Source organism: Homo sapiens, chromosome 5 (assembly GCF_000001405.40).
Source record: "Homo sapiens chromosome 5, GRCh38.p14 Primary Assembly".
In the NCBI taxonomy this organism is placed as follows: domain Eukaryota; kingdom Metazoa; phylum Chordata; class Mammalia; order Primates; family Hominidae; genus Homo; species Homo sapiens.
The window spans coordinates 42,155,366-42,182,739 of NC_000005.10; the positions used below are offsets into that span (position 1 = coordinate 42,155,366).

The window sequence follows — 27,374 nt, forward strand, 5'->3', positions numbered from 1 at the left end:
TCAATTTAATATGAATATTCAATTTAATGAATTTAATATTCAGTTTAATATTCAATTTAATGAATTTAATATTCAATTTAATATTCAATTTAATATGAATTTATATTCAATTTAATATGAAGTCAGATTCATTTTTTATCTTCATATTCAATTTTAGAGTTTGCTTTTCTAACCTTAGTTTTATTTTTAATAATTCAGTTTTATTGTTTCAATATGTACAGCATTTGCATAACTCAAATTACAAATAATATGTGAAACATTTTAGCTTTTCACCCATTCCCATTTCTACCCAATGGATAACCATTTTCATTAGTTTCTATATGTCCTTTCTACTTTCGTATTTGTTTTTTGTTTTCACAAAAGTAAGCAAATTTGTGATATCTATTCTCATTCCTCCTTCTTTCTTATGCACATGTAGCATAGCATATACACCCTTCTGCACTTTGATTTTTTTTTTTTTTCAGTTAAAAATACGTTCTGGAAATCACTCCATGACAGTTCATGGACATGTCACTCATTCTTTTTTACAACTTCATAAAAATTCATTTTGTGGATAAACCACAGTTTATCCTTTCACATAAATAGACATGTATTTGAAAGATACAAAAATAGACAGTAACTTGCTATTACTAACAATGTAACATTGAATAGCTTCCATTTTGCCTACATATAGAGAGATATGTCTTCAAGATGAATTCCTAGAAGTGAGGTTGCTAGGTCAAAGGGTGATTGCATATATGGTTCTAACAGTTATTGTTACATTAATCTCTTTAGAGGCTATACCATTTTGCACTCTCACCAGCAACATAATAGAGCACCTTTTGCTTTTCAGAAAAAAATATTTAAATTAGATGCCCATGGAAGACTCATCAATATGGGAGATAATTTCTGATACAATGTATGCATTTATTTATTTATTTGTTTGTTTGTTTGTTTGAGATGGAGTCTCTTTCTGTTGCCCAGACTGGAGTACAGTGGTGTGATCTCACCTCACTGCAACCTCTGCCTCCTGGGTTCAAGCCATTCTCCTGCCTCAGCCCCCCGAGTAGCTGGGATTACAGCTGTGCACCACCAAGACTGGCTAATTTTTGTATTTTTAGTAGAGATGGGGTTTTGCCATGTTGGCCAGGCTGATCTTGAACTCCTGACCTCAAGTGATCCACCCACCTCAGCCTCCCGAAGCGCTGGGATTACAGGCATAAGTCAACACACCCTACCTGAAATGTATGCATTTAAAGCAGCTGTAAATTGCTAGTAGGTCATACATAACTGAATATAGAGGTGTGGAAAGATAAGAAAGAAAAGCTGTAAATATGTGAAAGGAGACAATGCCTGTGGATGTGGTTATTATCCTAGGAGCTGACTTCCCACTCTTTTCCTGCCTTTTCACCTTCCCAGGCCAACTGCCTCTTATCCTTTCATCAAAACAATGGATTTGTGAGATGGGGAGGTGCATTTTACTCCTGAGCACCCCTTAGCTTGCCTGGCTTATGAGTGCTGTCTTTGATGTTCCCAAAGGTTATAAATCATTTATAAGATCCCTTAATCAGAACCAGTGTCTGAATTCTTTACTTACCAATTCATCCCATGAACAACTTTCTGGAAATAGCTAGAGGGGCAGAGAGGAATCAGGCTGCATTCTTTTTTAAGTGAGTGCCAACTATTCAGATTAAAGAGTATGGAACTCTCTCTTTCTAGTACAATGACATAGAGGAAAGAAGGTCTGGGTACACAGCTGCCCTCTTAGGCAAGTGCTGGGGAGTTTGTTTCCACATTATCTCTTAACCCTTCTCAGTTTTGTTCCCAGGGGAAGAGGACCAAGTTAGCTGATAAATGAGACAGAAAAATTTCATTGACCGGGCTGGGCATTCAGGATGTAGGGTTTTTGCTTTGTAACTCTAGTTTCCATCACTCTTGGTCTTCCCAGAAGTTGCTTGATTTCAGACAGAGTATTTTCTTGTTGCTGAGAAAAGAAACTGAAATCTTGCTCTGCCCCCAATAGGAATAAACATTATAGTCTGCAGTCAGAAACAAAGCACATTGCACCTGGAAAGAACAAAAATCAAAATGAGTCATTCTGTCTGGCACAGGTCCCCCATAGATGAAACCTTGATTCCTGTTTTTCAAGGTGCTGATTTTCTAACACAAATAACTCTATCCCTGTCATTTGCAGTACTGATACGTAACAACTTTGCAGATTTAGTAATTATTTGATTATATACCATTTTCTTCACCATCGACATATTATTATAACCTTGGGAAATTGGTGGTTTTATAACTTAAACATCTTATTTTTTTATTTGATAAGTCAATTCTTCCAACATCTGAAGTCTCTTGTAAAATTTTATTTGTAAAATAATGTTTTACTTGTCTTTTCATATGGCCTACTTCTCCCTTGCAGTAAATGCCTCAAGTTGCAAATTTCCAGGTTCTACATTCACGATTCAGGGTGGGCAGGGTAATAAAAGTCTCTGCACAGTTAGAGACTCTGCAAGGCTACCCAAACAAACTTGACTAATGATAAAGTTGATACCTTATCTCCTTTGATTCACTACCTTGTATGAGCTGCTGGCCATAAACTGTAAGAGTCCCAGCACCAAATCCCGCTTAGAACCTTTATGAGGGTGAAGAGAAGGTCCATTTGCTTTTTAATATTTCTCACTTTTCTATTCCTATAGAAATTTCTTCATAGTATGTTAGTGGCTAATTCATTTTAGATAAATATTTTTTTTCTCCAAACTTCTCTTTTAAAATAAACTGGGCCTGAAAACAAATTGAGTGAATGAAACATTTCTGTTTGACCAAATTCTCCTTCCATTATGGAAGGGACAGCATAAGAGCCCTAGGTAGCTAGGAAAACAGGGACAAGGGAAACTGGGGGCACAACATCACATATCTTCCAATTTTGCAAGACTTGGTGTCTGTACCAACTGAATCTGACAATGTGCATGGTGGGTTAGAAGGCCCTTTTGCTGGTAGGTTTTCCAACTCTGACACCATGGAGTTATTCTGGGATTTTGAAGTAAAAAGGAAGCTAAAGCACCCAATCAATTGATTGAAGAACTGCAACAATGAAAGGCATGATCTAGGCCCCAGTAGTTTTCCCAGTGAATATAGTAAGGCCTCAGCCCCGTTGTTCTGCTCTAGCTGTAAACAGTTATTGAAACAGAAGGTTTCCTGAGCAGTGCAGACTGTCTTTCTGCTGAGTGTTGCTCTTTGCTGGCCTTCCTAAGGAACTGGTGATGTGTGAGAATGAGATTGTGTTTCATCACCTCTCATTATTTTTTCCATGTTCTAAAAACAGTTGTCTAGACTGTTAGTTTCTGCCATGCCTGGCCACATTCTCCCAGCCTGAGAGAGCTCCTTGGGAGCACAGAATGAACATGACAATTTTATATTTTACTTTTACAAGCCATCTGCTCTTGCATTTGTGTGAAGACCATTGGAATCAATGGGGAAGTCAGTGCTTTGCTTTATAGGTTCAGTCTTAACAGAAAAAAAGGGAAGAAAGAAAATTCTTCCCAGTGGGAATATGTGGCCTAATTAGACACTGAATTAACCAGAGTCAATTAATTTGGGGGTATAATCTGATAAATCATTTAATACTGAACATATTGCTTGAATAGCTTGAAGTCAGTTAAGTGAAATAGATAGAGCTTACCATTAATTCCTTGGTCCTGAGATAACACTAAGGAAAATAAAAAGAAACATGATACTTCAAACTCTGTAATCTCCAAACCAAACTCATCATTTTTGCCATATGACCTTTTCCACCTCCCAGGTTCCTAGCTCAAGAAACAGCACTATCATTTACTCAGTTTGCTGAAGCCAGAACCCGGGCACCATCACTTCCTTCTCTCATCCCGATGTATAATCTCAATTAATTGACTTTCTTAGAATCTCTCATATTCATTCCCTGCTCTTCATCGTTCTTTGCTATATCCCTTATGGAAGCCACCATCATGTCTTACCTGGATATTGCAATAGTCTTAAGAGTAGTTTCTTTCTATTCTCCTTCTTGTTTAGCTATCCACATTCTTCCTCCAAACCATCCATTCATAATGCAGCCAGAATGATGTCTCTAAAATAAAGTATGATCACATTTCTCTTTTAAAATCTTTTAATACTTCCAATCATTCAGTGAATGAACTCTAAAATGCCTTAGCATCTCTAATGATTCTCTCCTATATCTACATCGTGGTCCTATATGGCCACTATTTGCACATGTACTGTGCTCTTCATGTTCCTTTATCACATCCCACACTCTCTCACATCCAGGATTTGACTTGCCCTTGTTTGTCTTAAGCTACATCTTAATCATTCTCTCAGTCTCAGCTAAAACTTCACCTCACCTGGGCATCATTTTCTGATTCTAGACTGAGTTAGGTGCTCTGAATTTCCTTATTAAATACTCATCACTTCTATTTGTGATCAGAGAACTTCAATTGTTGTCTTTGCCGGACTGAAAGCTTTGGAAAGAGCCTGTATCTGTCTTGTTTATAACAAATATGAAATAATTATGGGAATAAATAAGTAAATGAACAATGCCTGGAGATTTTGCATGAATAATGGCCCAAAGTCACCATTTTAAGATAACATGAACAAAGTACAATTTACACAACAATGCACATTTTATGTGTGCAGTTCAATGAGCGTTTAAAAATATATAGACTCAGGGCTGGGCATAGTGGCTCATCCTGTAATCCCAGAACTTTGGGGGCTGAGATGGGAGGTATGGCTTGAGGCCAGGAGTTCAAGACCAGTCTGGGCAACATAGTGAGACCCCATCTGTACAGACACTTAAAAAAAATAGCTGGTTGTGGTCGTGTGCACCTGTAATTCAAACTACTCAGGAGGCTGAGGAGAGACGATTCCTTAAGCCCAAGAGTTTGAGGCTGCAGTGAGCTATGATGGCACCACTGTGCTCCAGCCTGGGTGACAGAGCAAGACCTTGTCTCTAATATGTATATCTAGATCTGTCTGTCTGTCTGTCTGTCTATCTATCTATCTATCTATCTATCTATCTAATCTATCTTTCTATCATCTATCTGTCTTTCCAGAACATGTCTATCACTACAGATAATTCCCTTATGCTCCTCTGCAATAAATTCACCCTTCCTGCCCCCACTTTTGGTAACCACTGATATTATTTTTATCACTAGAGATTGATTTTGCACATTCTTGAATATAATATAGGTGGAAAACAGGGAGTGTACTCTTGTATATTTTTTTCACACAATAAAATTTTTGAGAATCACCCATGTTGTTGCATTTATCACTAGTTTGTTCCTTTAAATTGCTGAATAAAATGTTGTTGAATGGATACGTCATGTTTTGTTTTCCATTCTCCTACTAATAAACATTTGAGTGGTTTCCAAATTTTAGCTATTATGAATAAAGCTGCTATGAACATTTAGGTACCAATTGTTTTGTAAGGATGTATTTTTATTTCTTTTGATTTCTAATTACTCCACATCCTCACAAACATTTGATATTTTCAGTCTTTTAAATTTTATGTATTCTAATGGGCATGAAATGGTATCTCACTATGGTTTTAATTTTCATTTCTTAGATGATGATGATGATGATGATGATGATGATTATTATTTGAGACGGAGTCTCACTCTGTCACCAGGCTGGAGTGCACTGGCTTGATCTTGGCTCACTGCAACCTCTGTCTCCCAGGTTCAAGCGATTCTCCTGCCTCAGCCTCCCAAGTAGCTGGGACTACAGGCATGCACCACCATGCCCAGCTAAATTTTTTTGTATTTTTAGTAGAGACGGGGTTTCACCATGTTGGCCAGGATGGCCTCAATCTCCTGACCTCGTGATCCACTCGCCTCGGCCTCCCAAAGTGCTGGGATTGCAGGAGTAAGCCAGCACACCTGGCCCAGATTATTAATGATGCTGAGTACGTTTTTATGTGCTTATTACCAATCCAAGTATCTTAATTTGTGAAACGTCTATTCATGCCTTTGCACATTTTGAGATTGTTTTTTGTCTAATTATTGAGTTGAGAAAGAGAGTTACTTAAATGTTTTTCCTCAGTTGAAGGCTTGCCTTTTCATTCTTCATTTTTTTTTTTTTACGGTGTCTGGAAGAGGATAAGGTTTTAATTTTAAATAAGTCCAATTTATCAATGCTTTTTAAAAAAGGTTCATGCTTTTTTGTGTCCTAAGAATATTTTTCTACTCAAAGGTTAGAAATATTTTCTCTGAACCTTTTTTTCAGAATTTTCATAATTCTAGCTTTCATTTTTAGGTATATGATATTTATCAAATTACTTTTATGTGTGGCATGAGAAAAAAGTAATGATTTTTTTATTTTTTTAATATTTTTTTTTGAGATGGAGTTTCACTGTTGTGGCCCAGGCTGGAGTGCAATAGCATGAACTCGGCTCACTCCAACCTCCGCCTCCCAAGTTCAAGCAATTCTCCAGCCTCAGCCTCCCAAGTAGCTCGGACTACAGGCACCCACCACCATGCCCAGCTAATTTTTTAATTATTATTTTTAGTAGAGATGGGGCTTCACCATGTTGGCCAGGCTGGTCTCGAACTCCTGACCTCAGGTGATCCAACCATCTTGGCCTCCCAAAGTGCTGGGATTACAGGCATGAGACACCACACCTGGCCAAGAGTAAAGATTTATTATTTCCACATGCATATTCAGTTTTTCTAGTGCTATTTATTGTATTGTGTGTGCCTTCATCAAAAACCAAATGATTATATGCGGGTTTGTCGATTTCTAAATTATATTCTATTCCATTGAATTATATTTCTACTCTGAACAGAAGCTTTTTAGTTTAATATAGTCCAATACCATACTGTTCTTTTAAGCTTTATAGTTAATTATTGAAATCCAGTTGGATAAATTCTTCAACTTTTTTCTTTTTTTTCAACATTGTTTTGACTATTTAAGGTCTTTTGCATTTTCACACACATTTTAGGATGAGCATGTCAGTTTCTACCTCAAAAGCCTCTTAAATTTTTATTGGTATTATAGAAATCTATAAATCAATTTGGGGAAATGTGTATCTTAACAGTGTTAAGGGATCTAGTCTATCAATAAGATATATCATTTCATTTATCTAGATAGATATTCAATAATTCAGTAATATTTTATAGATTTAATGTGGAAGTCTTGTACACTATTTTTTCTTGGTACATAATATTATACTTATTTATGGGTTACCTGTGATATTTTATTACAGGCATAAAATGTATAATGATCAAGTCAGGGTATTTGAAATACCCTTCACCTTGAATATTTATCATATCTATGTATTGAGAATATTTCAAGTCCTCTCTTCCACCTATTTTGAAATATACAACACATTGTTGTTAACTAAAGTCACCTTACTCTGCTATCAAACATTAAAACTTATTTCTTCTATCCGACTCTATGTTTGTACCTGTTAACCAATGTCTCTTAACACTCTCTCTCCTACTGACACACTCCTCTCAGTTGCTGCAAGTGACATAATTTCTTTCTTTTCTATGACATGATTTCATTCTCCATATTATTCTTTATAATGATAACATAGTATTCTATTGTGTATATATATATCCCATTTCCTTTATCCATTCATCTGTTGATGAACATTTCGCTCACTTGATTCCACATTTTTGCTTTTGTCAATAGTGCTGCAGAAATCATGAAGATGCAGGTATCCCTTTGATATACTATTTTCCTTTGGATAAGTAAACAGTAGAGGGACTGCTGGACCATATAGTAGTTCTATTTTTAGTTTTTTTAAGAAAAATCTGTATTGTTTTGTATTCTGGCTGTACTAATTTACATTCCCACCAAAGTGTATGAGTTCCCTTTTCATCGCATCATCACCAGCATGTTTTTTAAAATCTTTCTGATTATAGTTATGCTAACTGGAATAAGATAATATCTCTTTGTGGTTTTGATTTGCATTTTCATGATGACTAGCTATGCTGATCATTTTTACATATATCTGTGGGCCATTTGTATCTCTTCTTTTAAGAAATGTCTATTCATGTTCTTTGTCCACTTTTTAATAGGTTTTGTTTTTACTGTTGAGTTTCTTGCATATTCTTTTTACTAGTCCCTTGTCAGATGAATACTTTGCAAGTATTTTCTCCCATTCAACAATAGGTTTTCTCTCTATTCCATTAACTGTTTCCATTGTGAAGAAGCTTTTTAGTTTAATACAGTTCAATTTGTCTACAATTGTTTTTGTGGCCTGTGTTTTTGAGGTCTTAATCATAATATTTTTGCCTAGACCAATGTACTGAAGTGTTTCCCTATGTTTTCTTCCAGTAGTTTAACGGTTTTGAGTTTTTTTGCTTAAGTCTTTATCTATCTTTAGTTGCTTTTGTACGTGGTGAAAGGTAGGGGTCTAGTTTCTTTCTTCTGCATGTAGATATCCAGTTACTATAGCATTGCAATATATTTTGAAGTCAGGTAGTGTGATGCCCCCAGCTTTATTCTTTTTGCTTTAGATAGTTGAGTTCTTTTTTGTTTCATACAAATTTTAGGATTTTTAAAAATTTCTGTAAAATATAACATTGATATTTTGATAGCAATTGCACGGAATATGTACATTGCTTTGGGTAATACAGTCATTTTAATGATTCTAATTTTTCTGATTCATGAGCATAAGATGTCTTTTCAATTATTTGTGTACTATTCAATTTCTTTCTTCAGTGTTTTGTAGTTTTCCTTGTATAGGTCTTTCACTTCCTTGGTTAAATTTATTCCTACCTATTTTATTTTATTTATCTATTATAAATTAGATTATAAATGAGATTTCCCTCTTAATTTCCTTCCCAGCTACTTCATTATTTCCACATTGAAAGACCATTCATTTTTGTATGTTGATATTGTACCTTGCAACTTTACTAAATTTATTTATTAGTTATAAGAGTTTACTAAATTTATATGTTAGATATAAGAGTTTTTTGGTGGAGTCTTTTGTTTTTTCTAGATATAAGATCATATCAACAACAAAGAGGGACAATTTGACTTCTTTTGCAATTTGGATGCCTTTTATTTTTCTTGCCTGATTTCTCTGGCTAGGACTTCCAGTACTAGGTTGAACAGGAGCGGTGAATCAGGCATCCTTGTCTTGTTCCAATTCTTAGGGAAACAGCTTTAAGCTTTTCCCTGTTCAGTTAAATGCTGACTGTGGGCTTAACATATATAGCCTTTATTATGTTGAGGTATATTCCTTATATGCCTAGTTGTTGAGACATTTTGGATTTGTACATGCTGAACTATCTTTGCATCCCTGGGATAAACCCTACTACATTGTGGTGTATTAGTCTTCTGATGTGCTATTGGATTTGGTTCACTACTATTTTGTTGAGAATTTTTTGCATTTATGTTCATTAGGGATATTAGCCCATAGGTTTCTTTTTTTTTTCCTTGCATCCTTGTCTGATTTGGAATCAGGGTAATGCTGACCTCATAAAATAAGTTAAGGAGAATTCCCTCCTATTTAACTTTTGGGAATAATTTGGGGAGGACTAGTATTAGTTTTTCTCCGTAAGTTTGGTAGAATTTACTAGTGAATCCATCTGGTCCTGGGCTTTTCTTTGTTGGAGACTTTTAATTGCCAGTTCATTCTTACTACTTGTGATAAATTTATTCAAGTTTTCTATCACTTCCTGATTCAATCTTGGCAGGTTGTATGTTTCCAGGTATTTATCCATTTCCTATGTTTTCCAGTTTGTTGTCATGTAATTGTTCAGAATAGTATCTGCTGATCTTTCTTATTTCTGTGGTATCAGTTGTCATGTTGCTTTTTTCATTTCTAATTTCCTATATTTTATCTTCTCTCTTATTTTCTTGATTAGGCAGTTTCTCTGACTCTTGAGTCAGATGCCTGTGCAGCTTCATGAAGAAGCCTGTTCAGCTTCCTCAGCAGGTCATCAGTGTCAACGAGCTTATAGGCAGAGGTAGATGTGGCTTCTGATTTCTCTTGATGGACTCCAGATTGTACTGGAGCTTTAGCTGCATCCTACAAATTTTGACATATTGTATTTTCATAATCATTCAGTTAGAAATCATAATTCCTTATGATTTTTTCTTTGACCCATAGATGTATATCATTTTATTTGAAAATATTTGGGAATTTAAAGAAAATATATTTAATAAGACTTTATTTCTTATTTAATTATGATGTAGTCAGAGAATATCAATCTTTTAAAATTTATTCAGATATGTTTTTCATCCAAGATATTGTCTTTCTTGGTTAACATTGTATGCGTACTTTAAAAGACTGTGTTCTGGAGCTGTTAGGTGTATGTTCTATAAACATCAATTAAGTGAAATTGTCTCATAGTGTTATTCAGATCTACTGTATCCATAATCATGTCTTTGGTCTAGTCATTTTATCTGTTATTGAGAGGGGCTTATTAAAATTCCCAATTATGGCAGTAGATTTTTCTATTTCTCTCTTAAGATCTATAAATTTTTTATTCATAAGTTTTAAAACTTTGTTTTTTTTTTTCTTTTCTTTTTTTTTTTTTCTTTTTTTATTATTATTATTATACTTTAAGTTTTAGGGTACATGTGCACATTGTGCAGGTTAGTTACATATGTATACATGTGCCATGCTGGTGCGCTGCACCCACTAACGTGTCATCTAGCATTAGGTATATCTCCCAATGCTATCCCTCCCCCCTCCCCCGACCCCACCACAGTCCCCAGAGTGTGATATTCCCCTTCCTGTGTCCATGTGATCTCATTGTTCAATTCCCACCTATGAGTGAGAATATGCGGTGTTTGGTTTTTTGTTCTTGCGATAGTTTACTGAGAATGATGGTTTCCAATTTCATCCATGTCCCTACAAAGGACATGAACTCATCATTTTTTATGGCTGCATAGTATTCCATGGTGTATATGTGCCACATTTTCTTAATCCAGTCTATCATTGTTGGACATTTGGGTTGGTTCCAAGTCTGTGCTATTGTGAATAATGCCGCAATAAACATACGTGTGCATGTGTCTTTATAGCAGCATGATTTATAGTCATTTGGGTATATACCCAGTAATGGGATGGCTGGGTCAAATGGTATTTCTAGTTCTAGATCCCTGAGGAATCGCCACACTGACTTCCACAATGGTTGAACTAGTTTACAGTCCCACCAACAGTGTAAAAGTGTTCCTATTTCTCCACATCCTCTCCAGCACCTGTTGTTTCCTGACTTTTTAATGATTGCCATTCTAACTGGTGTGAGATGATATCTCATAGTGGTTTTGATTTGCATTTGTGAGTGAACTCCCATTCACAATTGCTTCAAAGAGAATAAAATACCTAGGAATCCAACTTACAAGGGATGTGAAGGACCTCTTCAAGGAGAACTACAAACCACTGCTCAAGGAAATAAAAGAGGACACAAACAAATGGAAGAACATTCCATGCTCATGGGTAGGAAGAATCAATATCGTGAAAATGGCCATACTGCCCAAGGTAATTTACAGATTCAATGCCATCCCCATCAAGCTACCAATGACTTTCTTCACAGAATTGGAAAAAACTACTTTAAAGTTCATATGGAACCAAAAAAGAGCCCGCATCGCCAAGTCAATCCTAAGCCAAAAGAACAAAGCTGGAGGCATCACACTACCTGACTTCAAACTATACTACAAGGCTACAGTAACCAAAACAGCATGGTACTGGTACCAAAACAGAGATATAGATCAATGGAACAGAACAGAGCCCTCAGAAATAATGCCACATATCTACAACTATCTGATCTTTGACAAACCTGAGAAAAACAAGCAATGGGGAAAGGATTCCCTATTTAATAAATGGTGCTGGGAAAACTGGCTAGCCATATGTAGAAAGCTGAAACTGGATCCCTTCCTTACACCTTATACAAAAATCAATTCAAGATGGATTAAAGATTTAAACGTTAGACCTAAAACCATAAAAACCCTAGAAGAAAACCTAGGCATTACCATTCAGGACATAGGCGTGGGCAAGGACTTCATGTCCAAAACACCAAAAGCAATGGCAACAAAAGCCAAAATTGACAAATGGGATCTAATTAAACTAAAGAGCTTCTGCACAGCAAAAGAAACTACCATCAGAGTGAACAGGCAACCTACAACATGGGAGAAAATTTTCGCAACCTACTCATCTGACAAAAGGCTAATATCCAGAATCTACAATGAACTCAAACAAATTTACAAGAAAAAAACAAACAACCCCATCAAAAAGTGGGCGAAGGACATGAACAGACACTTCTCAAAAGAAGACATTTATGCAGCCAAAAAACACATGAAAAAATGCTCATCATCACTGGCCATCAGAGAAATGCAAATTAAAACTTTGTTGATTGGAGCATCCATATTTAAGATTGTTGAATCTTCCTGATGATTTTATTTTACATTATTAAATGACCCTTTATCATTTTTAAAACTTTTGGTCTTGATGTTTAGTTTGTCTGATATTAATACAATTGCCCAACTTCCTTATGTTTTCAATCTATTCATGTCTTTAAATTTTGAGTGTGTCTCTTTTAGGCAGAATGTAGTTTGGTTTTACTTTTTCATCCAGCCTGACAATCTCTGCCTTTGAATTGGAGTGCTTAGGCCACTAATATTTGCTATAATTATTGATATGATTTGGTTTATATGTACCATCTAGCTATTTATTTTAAATTTGTCCTATCTGTGTCTCTCTCTCTTGTTCCTTTTCTGTCTTCTTTTGCTTTTATCAGTTTTTTATTATTTTGTTTTTTGCTGTTATTATTTATACATATTTTTATTATTTTTAGTGGTTTCTCTAGGTTTAATAATATATTTCTTAACTTATTCAAGTCTATTAACAGTGAATATTATGCCATTTTACACTTCACACTTTCCAGTTCAGACATGGAATAACCTTACAATACTCTACCATGGTTTTTCTGGTGTCTCAGTTGAATGCCTGACGTGTTACTAAGGTGTTGAACCTGTCTTTCTAGTCTGGCTGGGCCAGCACTTCAATGTTCTTGGCACTTCTGGATCACTAGCATCTCTGTTCCATTCTCCACTCTTTGGTAAGCCTCACACAATTCATCTTGCTCACGTGAAGCCCTATCCTTGGTCAAAAACTTATGCAGAACTCCTCCTACCCCCATTGATGTGCAGACTCTGAGCCCCCTCCTCTCTGGAGCTTCCAGCTGCTACAGCTTCCTCAAGTTAGCAAGACCATCTTGTTTTGCTGATTTCAGCTTGCTGGGTTTCAGTACCGATAGTCCTAGGCAGGGAGATGAGACAAATGTCAGATTCCCTTTGGTAGTTTCCATTCTTTCAAAGACTTCAGTCATGTATAGCCTGTTGTCTAGTTTTACATGTGTATAATGTAGATGGGCTAGTCCAGTACCCATTACAACATATTAATCAAAACCAAGAGGTGTTGGGCACTTTTTTGTAATGAATGTAATACGCTTTAGGAGAACAGGCTCACGACATATTTAAGTTAGAAATTTGTAGTTTAATTCCACTTTGCTTTCTATAGGACTCATCTAAGAGTCCCTATTGATGCAACTTGAATTTAAGAAGATCATAGAGGTTCTTGAAACATTCTGAACGAATTTTATTTTTCAAATTCTGAGCATTTTAGAATTTTCTCCACAGTTTCTCTAGCATTGCTTATCTTCTTTTGCCTTCTTTACTTTCTTTTTTACCTTCATGTTTTCCTTGTCTTTTTAGTTAACAAATACTTGTGCAGCACATAGCATGGACCTGACATTATTCTAAATGCTTAATAGATATTTATTTAATTTTCAAGTGCAATGGATGAAGTAAAAACTGGAGTGGTAGTTGCAAAGGAAATATTCCTTCTTTATCATTTGTTTTTCTTCTACAAAATAAAATAAATTATTTGTATTGTCCCCTTCCCCTGCTTCTTTTTAAGTCTATTTGAAAACAGTGAAAACAACCACCTGTAATATTTTTTTGAAAAAATGTAGAACAATTAGTAGCAACTTCTTTTTGGTAAAAACATAGGCAATCAACTCCTTTTTATGCTTTACCTCGTCCTTTGGAGACTTGGAAAAATTCTTCCTATTCCTCATATTATGTGACTAATTTCAATACAGGATAAAACCTTGTCATTTTTTTTTTGTTTCTTTTTAAAAACTTCCAAACTAGACAGATCTGGTCATCCAAGTTATAGTTCAAGTAGTGGTTACTTAGGAAAAAAAAAGTTTTTTGAATATAGGACTAATTCAACTATTTATAAGAGCCTGCCTGGATTTTTTTTAATGTTACTTTTTTTTCTAGCTCTGGAATTGCAATCAAAATGCCCCAAGAGAAGTGTGAAAACATGACTGTCAATACCCAGATGATCTGGTCTAAAAAGTAGAATAAGTTGAGGGAAAACCAGACCAAACCAAAACATTGCCACCATTCTCTCTTATGTTCTACAGTTAAAACACCCAGTGTTTGCATGCTTTTTCTGTATCAGGACAATACTCCCTTCAGAATATATAGCATGTTAGTTCCCAAAGAACAAAGTGATAAAAAATCATTTTATCTATAGCAGCAAGGACACCAAAATGTAAGGGGACATTCCAGCCTCGACTTTGGCCTTTGCAGTGCAGATGTCTACAGATGGCAGTCCCAAAAGTAAGTTTTTACTGTGACCATAAAGCCTCATTCCTGGTCCATGCATATAGCTGTGAGACATTTATAAATTAATTAATGGGCATATTGTTACCCTAAGTGAGATGGAAAATATTTCTTATGGAAGACCTGCTCTAGAGGTGGTCTTCTTTCTTGGACTGGAATTTTTATATGCCTGCCAAAGCTAATATGCCTTTTTGAGAGTCAGAGATAGTCCTCACAGGGGAGTTGGGATCGTTGTTCACATAGAGACACCACCTTAGGACCTACTCTCATGCTTTTCCCACTGCCTGAGACACTTGTCTTCCTTACTCCTTATGGCTCACATCCTCAGGTCTCCATTTAAAGGCTACCTCCTCATAGGTGCCTCCCTAAATCACCCCAATTCAAATGGATCCTCCAGATATATTCTCTCATAGCCCTGTGTTCTTGTCCTACAAAACATTTGTCACACTATGCAAATATGTCATTTTTGTTTGTTTATTTGCTTATTGCTTGTCTCTCTATGAAGCTAGGAACTATTTCTGTTTGACAAACCACAGCATCTATGATTTCTAGTATAGATACTGGCCCATAGTGGGCATTCAGTAAATACTTGTTTGCTGAATGAATGAATCACCTTTTCTCTACCTGCACCCCCACAGGGGGTATGGTAGCCATGCGGAGACAGCTTCAACAGCCAGACAGAGGAGAAGGCAAATTCATCTTATTCAAACCTATGTGGAAGACTTATAATAGCACCCCATGGAAAAGGTCACAAATATACAGGGCAAACAGTGAAAAGCATGGTTAACTTTGGCAACCAACTAAAGAAAACAAAACCTCACACAAGCCACATTTACCAAGGCACCTGGTATAAAACCAGGGGAAAGGGCAGGACTTTTATTGCTCATTTTTTACAAACTGAGGTTTTAAAAAAGTGAGGTTCTTATATGCTGGTATTAATATCTTCCTCCCTGTGAGTGGGATGATGAAAGTAACCAGTAGAGAGCAAAGTAATACCAAAGAAAGTCAGCTTACTGGGATAAGAGCTTCCAGAGTTAAGGCACAGAGGAAGGCATCTTGACACCTTCTCTCAGCTAAGTGGGGAAATACTTGCCTGAGTAAGTAGTCTCAACTGAAAATTGAGTATTCAATGAAAATATATGTATTAAACAAAAATATCTCACTATCTTTTCAGTGTAACAGGGAAATTTTGGAACAAATATGCCCAATTCTAATCCAGGGACAGCAAAGAAATTTTATTTGGTGGGCTAAGTCTGACCCATTGGCCATGGCTTCCCAAAGAGCTAGACTGTAAGAAATTCTAAAGGTGAGTCCTGGACTCAAGGAGGAAATGAGCCAGGACCAGTTATTGAAGACTAATGGACAGAGAGCAGGGAATTAAAATATTCATACCACACTGTTGCTATTACCAGTAAAACTAAAAAACAGATGGTTGTAAAAATAGAGGTTTCAAATTAGACTTACCTGCTGGTACCATGAGGGCCAACTTAAGTGGGGAAGTATCACCATGCAGGCAGAGTCTACTGTTAACATAATCATTATTTTTTCCCTATCCCATTTTTCCTATCACATAAAGAACTCACTTCATTCACTCAGAATGCTTCCTTTTCTCTTTTTGGTGCTGCCTTTCATCTGTGTGATCCTTGCCCCCCACCTAGACCAACTAGATTATTGTAGGTCTTCTGCAAATTCCTAGTGTACTCGTACGTGGAATATCATTGCTCTGGGCCTCAAATGCAATGGTCAAAAGAGAATATTGACTTAGATAACCTATATAGTCCTATCCTCAGAATCTAAATTCTTTGATTACTGGTATCTCTCATGATTGCATTTAGGAAATGTGGGACTCTTTCCATTTTTTTTACTCAAGAAAACACGACAACTCCAAAATCCAATTTTAACAGAAGCTGAGTCATAGACAGGCTACTGCTTTTCAGAACACTTAGTGAAAAATTGGCTTCAAGAACAGCGCTAAGTTCATAATTCCTAGTCCTGAGTCCAGGTAACTGGACCATTCATGTTTTTTAGGAAAATATGTTTTTGACTTATAAATAATTTTTAAATAACTAATAATAAAGCAATAAAAACGCAAAAACTTTGTATGTTTGTGTTTGTCTTCTTTCATAGTTTTTCTTTTTTAATTTTATTATTATTATAATTTAAGTTTTAGGGTACATGTGCACAACGTGCAGGTTTGTTACATATGTATACATGTGCCATGTTGGTGTGCTGCACCCATTAACTCGTCATTTAGCATTAGGTATATCTCCTAATGCTATGCCTCCCCCCTCCCCCCACCCCACAACAGTCCCCGGTGTGTGATGTTCCCCTTCCTGTGTCCATGTGTTCTCATTGTTCAATTTCCACCTATGAGTGAGAACATGCGGTGTTTGGGTTTTTGTCCTTGTGATAGTTTGCTGAGGATGGTGGTTTCCAGTTTCATCCATGTCCCTACAAAGGACATGAACTCATCATTTTTTATGGCTGCATAGTATTCCATGGTGTATATGTGCCACATTTTCTTAATCCAGTCTATCGTTGTTGGACATTTGGGTTGGTTCCAAGTCTTTGCTATTGTGAATAGTGCTGCTATAAACATACGTGTGCATGTGTCTTTATAGCAGCATGATTTATAATCCTTTGGGTATATACACAGTAATGGGATGGCTGGGTCAAATGGTATTGCTAGTTCTAGATCCCTGAGGACTCACCAAACCGACTTCCACAATGGTTGAACTAGTTTACAGTCCCACCAACAGTGTAAAAGTGTTCCTATTTCTCCACATCCTCTCCAGCACCTGTTGTTTCTTGACTTTTTAATGGCCACCATTCTAACTGGTGTGAGATGGTATCTCATTGTGGTTTTGATTTGCATTTCTCTGATGGCCAGTGATGATGAGCATTTTCTCATGTGTTTTTTTGGCTGCATAAATGTCTTCTTTTGCGAAGTGTCTGTTCATATCCTTCACCCACTTTTTGATGGGGTTCTCTGTTTTTTTCTTGTAAATTTGTTTGAGTTCATTGTAGATTCTGGATATTAGCCCTTTGGATTAAAGACTTACATGTTAGACCTAAAACCATAAAAACCCTAGAAGAAAACCTAGGCAATACCATTCAGGACATAGGCATGGGCAAGGAATTCATGTCTAAAACACTAAAAGCAATGGCAACAAAAGCCAAAATTGACAAATGGGATCTAATTAAACTAAAGAGCTTCTGCACAGCGAAAGAAACCACCATCAGAGTGAACAGGCAACCTACAGAATGGGAGTTTTTCTTTAAAGGAGTGTTTCATATAAGTTAAAAAACAGTTTATCCTCCTTAATTGGTTCTTGCTGCTGAGATATATTCATCCTTCCTTTTTTAGATAAACAGCTGAACAACATTCCATATAAACCTGTGCTGGGTTACAGTCCTCATGTGACATGAACAGGCTCTAAATCTTAGTGCAGGGCAAACAGGAATCACCTGTCATACTGAGTACATTTAATCAGGCTCTCCTAAATATTAATTTTCTGCTAATAAGATATAAGTTGAGGCATTGACAAAGGAATTTACATAAATTTCATCAGTTTCATATTGTTTATTTCTAAAAAATGAAAATGATTTTTCCATAAAATCTGAAAAAATATTTTGGGTGTACTAGATAATGTATAGTATATTGCAGCAATGATGTTACTAGTTACATTGTATGTAATTAGTAATTAACTAAGTTTTTGGTTTTTGTTCTTGTGGCTTATCAGGATTAATTAGTTGTGTACAAATTTAGTTAATTCACTTATTAATTGACTAATTAGTTAATTCATTAATTACTAATTACATACAATGCCTCTGCTTTAAACTTGTTGGTGCTATCCCATTGTCTGTAAGATTAAAGCTCAATCAAGTTCCTCAAAATGGTTTACAAGACCTATTTTCACCTGCTAATTTCTACCTCCCTAACTTCATATCTCCTTTGCCTTGCATCATAATCACAAAAAATACCAAATTGCTAGTAATTCTCAGCTCATCAGCCATTCCTTTCTTTCTTAACTTTGGCCATGTGCCCCTCTCTGCTTAGAATGGCTCCTTCTCCCTTCTTTGCCTGATAATTTCAATGTATCCTTAATCAGCCCCTCCTAATACCACATCTCCAATCATGCATGGTAGGTACTCCTTCTTTATGTCATTGCTGAGTTTCTATCTTTATCACTATGCAGATAAGTGTAAGTATTTTATATATGAATCTCTCTCTCTGCAACATAGGCACTTCTCAAGGTAGTGAGCAGTGTATTGTTACTCTTTGCATACTCAGTGCCATATCATTGCCAGTGTTTGGCTCATCAGAGCTAACAGGAAATGTTAGCTGGTTGAATAAAGTATTGAATAGAGAAAAGTCATCATCTCAGATAATGAAGGTGAAAAGTACACTATAACTAATTCATGGTGATAAGCCACAAGAACAAAAAACAAAACATTATGTGATTACTTACTTATTACACAGCTTATAGTAGAAATAAGATGAGAAAATCTCTATGCAGATCATAGAAAAGAACTGAAGCTGGTTTGATATTACTTTGGTTCCTTGATTCACCCTCCTCTTCTCTACACGGCAGCCATGTCACTGTCCTTTTTTCCCTGATTCTTTCTCTGATAATCAGATCATCATTTCATGACCACCTTTTTTCACAGCTAACTTTCCTTCTTCTCAACATTTATACAATTTTCTGTTTATGCTACTGGCTTGATATTTAAGTATAACCTTGAACTCTTAGATATCTTTTCTGTGTCCTGTTTTTTCTGTTAGATCATAACCTCATGAAAACCAATGAAACCATGTTTCTGATACATTTGCTTTCTCTGTAATATCTGGCAGTGACTCTTATAGATGGAGAATATCTTGCAAACATGTAATATATTCATTATGTGACAACATTGGAGAAGAAAGAGCTAGAATTGAGAATCAAGAGATCTGAGGAAAAATACTAAGCTTTGGGACCTTGGGCAAATTATTTAACTTCTGTAATCCTCAGCTTTATGGTATGTAACAGAGTGGATGCAAGAAGAGCATGAGATCATGTCTGTATAGAGCTTCATCAACTGTGAAATGCTCTTCAAATAGTCAGTAATTCTCTTAGCTCATTTTCTGTTGCTGTAACTGAATACTTGAGACTGGATAATTTATAAAGAAAATAAAGTTATTTCTTTACCATTTTGGAGGCTAGAAAGTTCAAGGTCGAGAGGCTGCATCTGCTGAGGGCCTTTTTGCTGGTGAAAACATTCTGGAGAGTCCTGAGGCATTGCAGGGCATCAGTCTCTTCCCCGTGAGGACTTTGCATAAAAACTGTTGAATTGAGTAAGACTTCACCTTTTTTTGTAACACAGAGCTCTGACGCAAAGAGTCATTATCAAATCATCCCATGAACTTTAGGAAGTTTTTTAAATGAAAGCAGCACCAAAATCCAGCTGGATTTGGGTCTCAGAGCAGAGGGCATACAGGGAATAGTGATACTTTCAGAGAAACTGAGTTGAATCTTAAAGAGATAATACCAGTGGCCAAACTGTATCACTAAAATTGCTTCTTTATTAGGATTTTCTCCCTAATCTGGAAAATAATAAGGGCCCTGACATAACTTACCCAGAACATTATGTATAGTTATTTGTTTAATTAAAGATGAGGGAAAATCAATTCTACCACTACATGCAATATTTTGGTAGAGATTGTCTGCTTAAAAACAAAACACATGCACTTCATTTGGACTTACTTTCAAGAAAATATTCGGAAAGAAACTTACCAAAAGGGACATAATGTTTTCTTCCACTACTTCTAAAAATAGTAGAGCTCTAAACTTTCCTCTTTTCTTCTTCCAAGATAAAAGTGTTAACAGATATATACAAGCCATAGGCAGGTTTTGAGATTTGATGTGGTTGTTTCTGTTTGTTTGTTTTTTAAAATGAGAGATAGAAGGGGAAAGAAGAGAGAAATTTGGCACTTTTCTCAGCAGTGGTTTAGTGTTGTGCCTTCTTCCCATTCTTTGGCTTATGATTTGGGAAAGGCAAAAGCAGCTAGCCAGAAGGACTTGACACTCAATTCCATTCATAGCAGCAGCTGCTGCAGACCCCAGGTGAGAGAAATTTTCATTTCTATGCTGACTCTGTATTAGTCCATTTTCACGCTGCTATAAGGAACTGCCTGAGGCCAGTGCAGTGGCTCACACCTCTAATCCCAGCACTTTGGGAGGCTGAGGCAGGCAGAACACATGAGGTCAGGAGTTCGGGACCAGCCTGGCCAACATGATGAAACCCTGTCTGTACTGAAAATCCAAAAAAAAATTAGCCAGGCATGGTGCCACATGCCTGTAATCCCAACTACTTGGGAGGCTGACACAGCAGAATCACTTGAATTTGGCGGGAGGCAGAGGTTGCAGTGAGCTGAGATTGCACCACTGCACTCCAGCCTGGGTGACAAAGTGAGACGCCATCAAAAAAAAAAATCCTGCCTGAGACTGGGTAATTTATAAAGGAAAGAGTTTAATTGACTCACAGTTTCACAGGGCTGGGGAAGCCTCAGGAAACTTACCTTCATGGCAGAAAGAAAAGCAAACATGTCCTTCTCATGGCAGCAGAAAAGGGGAGTGCCAAGCAAAAGAGGGAAAAGCCCCTTTAAAAACCATCAGATCTCATGAGAACTTACTCCCTGTCACAAATGAGCATGAGGGTAATTGCTTCCATGGTTAAATTACCTTCTATCAGGTCCCTCACGTGATATGTGGGGACTATGGGAACTATAATTCAAGGTGAGATTTCAATGGGGACACAGAGCCAAACCATACAATTCCACCCCTAGACCCTCCCAAATCTCATGCCCCCATATTTCAAAACACAATCATGCCCTTCCAATAGCCCCCCAAAGTTTTAATTCATTCCAGCATTAACCCAAAAGTCCCAGTCTAAAGTCTCATCTGAGACAAGGCAAGTCCTGTCCACCTCTGAGCCTGCAAAATCAAAAGCAAGTTAGTTACTTCCTTGATACAAGGGGCATACAGGCCTTGAGTAAATATACCCATTACAAATGGGAGAAATTGGCCAAAACAAATAGGCTACAGGCCCCATACAAGTCCGAAATCCAATAGGGCAATTATTAAAGTTCCAAAACAATCTTTGACTCCATGTGAAAGGATTCACATTCAGGTCATGCTGATGCAAGAGATGGTCTCTCATGGCTTTGGGCAGCCCTGCCACTGTGGCTTTGCAGGGTACAGCCCCCTTCCAGCTGCTTTCAAAGGCTGGAGTTGAGTGTGGCCCTCTTCTCACAGCTCCACTAGGCAGTGCCCCAGTGGGGACTCTGTGTGGGGGCTCCAACCCTGTATTTCCCTTCTGCACTGCCCTAGCAGAGGTTCTCCATGAGAGCTCCGTCCCTGCAGCAGACTTCTGCCTGGACATCCAGGCATTTCTCTACATCCTCTGAAATCTAGGCAGATGTTCCCCAACCTCAATTATTGACTTATGTGCACCCAGAGGCCGAACACCACAGGTAAGCTGCCAAGGCTTGGGGCTTGCACCCTCTGAAGCCATGGGCTGAGCTGTAACTTGGCCCCTTTTAGCTACAGCTGGAGCAGTGGTTGGGATGCAAGGCACCAAGTCCCTAGGCTGTACACAACAAGGGAGCCCTGGCCCTGGCCCAAGAAATCATTTTTCTCTCCTAGGCCTATGGCCCTGTGATAGGAGGGGCTACCATGGAGGTCTCTGACATGCCCTGGAGATATTTTACCCATTGCCTTGGCAATTAACATTTGGCTCCTCACTATTTATGCAAATTTCTGCAGCTGGCTTGAATTTCTCCTCAAAAAATAAAATTTTCTTTTGTACTGCATTGTCAGGCAGCAAATTTTCCAAACTTTTATGCTTTGCTTCCTCTTGAATGGTTTTCTGCTTAGAAATTTCTTCCGCCACATACCCCAAATCATCTCTCTCAAGTTCAAAGTTTCACAGATCTCTAGGGCACAGGCAAAATGCCACCAGTCACCTTGCTAAAGCACAGCAAGAGTCAACTTTGCTCCAGTTCCCGACAAGTTCCTCGTCTTCCTCAGAGACCATCTCAGCCTGGACTTCATTGCCCATATCACTATTAGCATTTCAGTTAAAACGATTCAACAAGTCTCTAGGAAGTTCCAAACTTTCCCATGTCTTCCTGTCTTCTGAGCCCTCCAAACTGTTATAACCTCTGCCTATTACCCGGTTTCACAGTTGCTTCCACATTTTTGGGTATCTTTACAGCAGCACTCCACTACCTGGTACCAATTTACTGTATTAGTCCATACTCACACTGCTATAAAGAACTGCCTGAGACTGAGTAATTTATAAAGGAAAGAGGTTTAATTGACACAGTTCTGCAGGGCTGGGGAAGCCTGAAGAAACTTACATTCATGGTGAAAGGAGAGGCAAACACAACCTTCTTCTCATGGTGGCAGGAAGTGGAAGTGCCAAGCAAAAGGGAGAAAAGCCCCTTATAAAAACATCAGATCTCTTGGAACTCACTCGCTATCAGGAGAACAACATGAAGGTAATTGCCTCCATGATTAAATTACCTTTCACCAGCTCCTTCCCACAACATGTGGGGATTATGGGAATTACAATTCAAGGTAAGATTTGGGTGGGGACACAGAGACAAACCATATCACTCTTTATTCTAGGAAAAGCTAAACCACATTGCAACATTGGATATCTGTGTGAGCTCATAGTTAGGTTAAAATTTTTTTAGATTATATTCTGTGAAGTATACAAGAGTATTCAAGTATTTAGTTCAATATGAATAAAACTGTGTTATTGTTTCTTTAGTCAATAATTGGTTAGGACTAAGCAGGAACTAGTAAAACCTTTTATTTGATTTCCTCTGCCATGTTTTTCTATACTCAGTGGGGCATCAAAAGATTTCCCATGCTTCAGCTATGAGAAGTCGGTTTGGTTGGTTGAGGGCTCAGGTGATAAGCTGAGTAGGAGACTCACTGTATAATACATAAATCTTTTTCTGGAATCTATTTTTAAATTATTATTTCCTCTTCTAAATCTTGCTAATGTGATTTGGTTTTCTCGCTGTTTACTTTCTTTTTTTGTGATGTCCTCATTTTGACAATACCTGACAACCAAAGTAAGAAGCAAATAAGAAGTCACATTTGACAAGAATAAGGTTTTCTGCTATTGGTTTCTTGTAATGCATGTTTCTTCTCTTGTCATTATGGCAGTTTTTTTGTTGGTTTTTTTTTTTGTTTTTTTGTTTTTGTTTTTTTTTTTTTTTTTGAGATGGAGTCTCGCTCTGTCCCCCAGGCTGGAGTGCAGTGGCATGATCTCTGCTCACTGCAAGCTCCGCCTCTCGGGTTCATGCCATTCTCCTGATCAGCCTCCTGAGTAGCTGGGACTACAGGCTCCCACCAACATGCCCGGTTAATTTTTTGCATTTTTAGTAGAGACGGGGTCTCACTGGGTTAGCCAGGATGGTCTCGATCTCCTGACCTTGTGATCTGCCCTCCTTGGCCTCCCAAAGTGCTGGGATTACAGGTGTGAGCCACTGCGCCTGGCTGGCAGTTTTGTTTTTTAACCTATTTGAAAGCTAAAAGTGATTGTGTGCACATGGAAAAAAATTTACTTAGTATAGAAAGTTATAAAATGAAGTCTTTCTGTTGCATTCCTCTACCTGGGTTTCTGATTTCAAAGATAAAATTGTTTCTGGCTTTTGTTTTCTTAAAAGACAAACAGTTGAAGAGATTATTCTCTTTGAGAATAATTATTATCTTTGAGAGACAATTGAAAGAGAAGGAAAATCATTGAAAGCAGCAAAATGAAGGCAGTGTGAATAATGGATAATTATCCCAGGAACCATCACACAGAAAACTTGGAAGATTTGGTTGAAATGCAAGGAGATCTTTGAGGGTAGAGAGGAAAGAGGGGCATGGAGGTAACTGGGTGGCTGCAGGTGCACCTTCCTAGGGAAAAAATTATGTCACTATTTACAATAGCAAAGACTTGGAATCAACCCAAATGCCCATCAATGACAGTCTGGATAAAGAAAATGTGGCATATATACACCATGGAATACTATGCAGTCATGAAAAAGAATGAGTTCATGTCTTTTGCAGGGACATGGATGAAGCTAGAAACCATCATCCTCAATAAACTAACACAGGAACAGAAACCAAACACTGCATTTTCTCACTCATAGGTGGGAGTTGAACAATAAGAACACATGGACACAGGGTGGGGAACATCACACACTGTGGCCTGTAGGGGGCGGGGGTCAAGGGGAGGAAGAGCATTAGGACAAATACCTAATGTATGTGGGGCTTAAAACCTAGATCATGGGTTGATAGTACAGCAAACCACCATGGCACATGCATACCTATTTAACAAACCTGCATATTCTGCACATTTGTCCCAGAACTTAAAGTAAAATAAAATATTTTTTAAAATATGATTGTGAAAAAGCAAAAAAAAAATTCTCTGTTCCAGGAGCCCAGTCTTGGTAAAGGTTCAATGCACCATATGTGACACCATAACAGCAAACTACTGATAGCAAGAGGCCATCAATGCAACAATAAAAAAAAAAACTATCCAATTAAAAGTAGGCAAAATGCCTGAAGAGATATGTCATGAAGAAGATACTAGGTTGGTGCAAAAATAATTGTGGTTTTTGCAATTACTTTTAATGGCAAAAACCTCAATTATTTTCGCACCAACCTAATATAAAGATGTCAAACATGATATGAAAAGATGCTCAACCTCATGTGTCATTAGGGAAGTGCAAATTAAAATGACAATGAGATACCACTACACACTTATTAGAATGGTCAAACTCCGAAACACTGACAACGCCAAATACTGGTGAGGATGTGGAGCAACAAGAACTCTCATTGATTGCTAATAGGAATGCAAAATGATACAACTGCTTTGGAAGACAGTTTTGTGGTTTCTTACAAAACTAAAATACTATTACCATATGATCCAGCAATAGTGCTTCTTGGTATTTATCCAGATTAGCTGAAAACTTATGTCCTCACAGAACCTACACACCAATGTTTATAGAAGCTTTATTTATAACTGCCAGTAATTAAAAGAAATCAAGACGTCCTTCAACAAGTAAGTGAATAGTGTGGTACATTCTAACAATGAAATATTATTCAATGCTGAAATAAAATGAGCTATCAAGCCATACACACACAAAAAATGGAATAAAGTAAAATGCATATTACAAAGTAAAGAAATCAATCTGACTTCAATTACATGACATTCTGGAAAAAGCAAAACTATACAGACAGTAAAAAATTAGTAGTTACCAGGGACTAGGGGTTGGAGGAGATGGGGCAGGGTGAATAGGTGGAGTACAGGGGATTTTTAAGGCAATGAAAATATTCTGTATCCTATTTTAATGGTGGATACATGACATTATGCATTTGTCAAAATGTATAAAATGATAAAACACAAAAAATGAACCCTAATGTAAACTATATTCTTTAATAATAATATATTAACATTGGTTCATCAGTTGTAAGAAATGCACCACACTAATGCAAGATGCTAAAAATAGAGAAAACTAGTGTTAGTATTGGAGGGTTGGGAGTAAATGGGAACTATCTGTATTTTCCACTCATTTTTTTTGTAAGCCTGAAACTGTTCTAAAAATAAAGTCTATTAATAACAGATTTTTTAAAAGACCAGGGCTTGAAAAATTATAATGGGGCATAATTAGGAGACTTCTCCTCCCACTTTTGAGGATCACATAAATGTTCCAGATGCTAGTGGAAAGGGAAGGGGCCCAGCAACAATAAACATTCACTTTCTTACACATCTCTCACAATAAAGGCTTTACCAGATTCAACTGTGCAGAAAGAAAAGACATGTAAACTCTTTTGAGTTTATGATACATTCATACCTACTACCGATGAGTTTAGATTTTCCATCCCTTTTGTCATTTATTCTTGGACATTGGGGTTTTCATATGTATTTTTATAGTATTTTAAAAGTACTCTTTCTGATTCATTTATTTTTTAATATATTATTGGTTATTTCCACTTTTTATTTATAATTGTGTAAATGTATACTTTCTCTTTTTTCTGGAATAGAGAAGCCATTTTATTTTCCTTTTAAAGCAATATAATACCTTGGGTTTATTTATTTTACTATTTTCTTTTTAAATTTAATCCATGTTTTCTTTTATTATTTGCTCTCCTATGCTTTTCTTAATACACGTGAGTTTAATATTTAAATCATTGAATATTATTTTTTCTTTGGTAATATACATGTCTAATACTAAATATTTTCTTTTGAGCTCAAGGAGTGTGATATTTATTATTTTCTTTTGCCAATATTTTCTAGTTATACTATAAATTCTGTTTTATTTTTTATTTGATTTAGAAGTTATTTAAAAACATTTTTGTGGTTAATTTCCTCAGTAACATTCTGGTCTCTATGTTATTTTCTACTTTTGATGCATAATACACTGAAAAAATGTTTCATATAATTTCTATTTTGTGGGGAAAGGCCACTTAAAATGTTCACTGTTATCAGAATATAGATTTTGGAGAGGACGCAAGGTAAGATGACCATATGGAAGCCTCCACTGATCGTCCTCCCTGCAGGAACACCACATTTAACAACAATCCACAAAAAAAACAAAACAACAACAACAAAAAAAACAACTTCACGAGAACCAAAAATCAGGTGAGTGATCACAGTGCCTGTTTTTAATTTCATAGCACTGAAAGAGGCACTAGAGAGAGTAGGAAAGAAAGTCTTGGATTGCCAAC

At 36.8% G+C, this 27,374-nt stretch overlaps 1 long non-coding RNA gene across 2 annotated transcripts; it reads right to left on the reverse strand.

Annotated features, from left to right (window-relative positions):
* Nucleotides 1–467: 467 nt before the first annotated feature.
* LINC02996 (long intergenic non-protein coding RNA 2996) lies at nucleotides 468–19,980 on the reverse strand. Of its 2 annotated transcripts, none has more exons than NR_104636.1 (4): nucleotides 19,788–19,980; nucleotides 3,972–4,081; nucleotides 3,662–3,688; nucleotides 468–2,046 (listed from the first exon to the last, which is right to left on the reverse strand). It is a non-coding gene; the product is annotated as a long intergenic non-protein coding RNA 2996 (long non-coding RNA). The 2 variants fall into 2 exon arrangements; NR_104635.1 differs by lacking the exon at nucleotides 3,662–3,688 and adding an exon at nucleotides 13,098–13,222.
* Nucleotides 19,981–27,374: the final 7,394 nt, after the last annotated feature.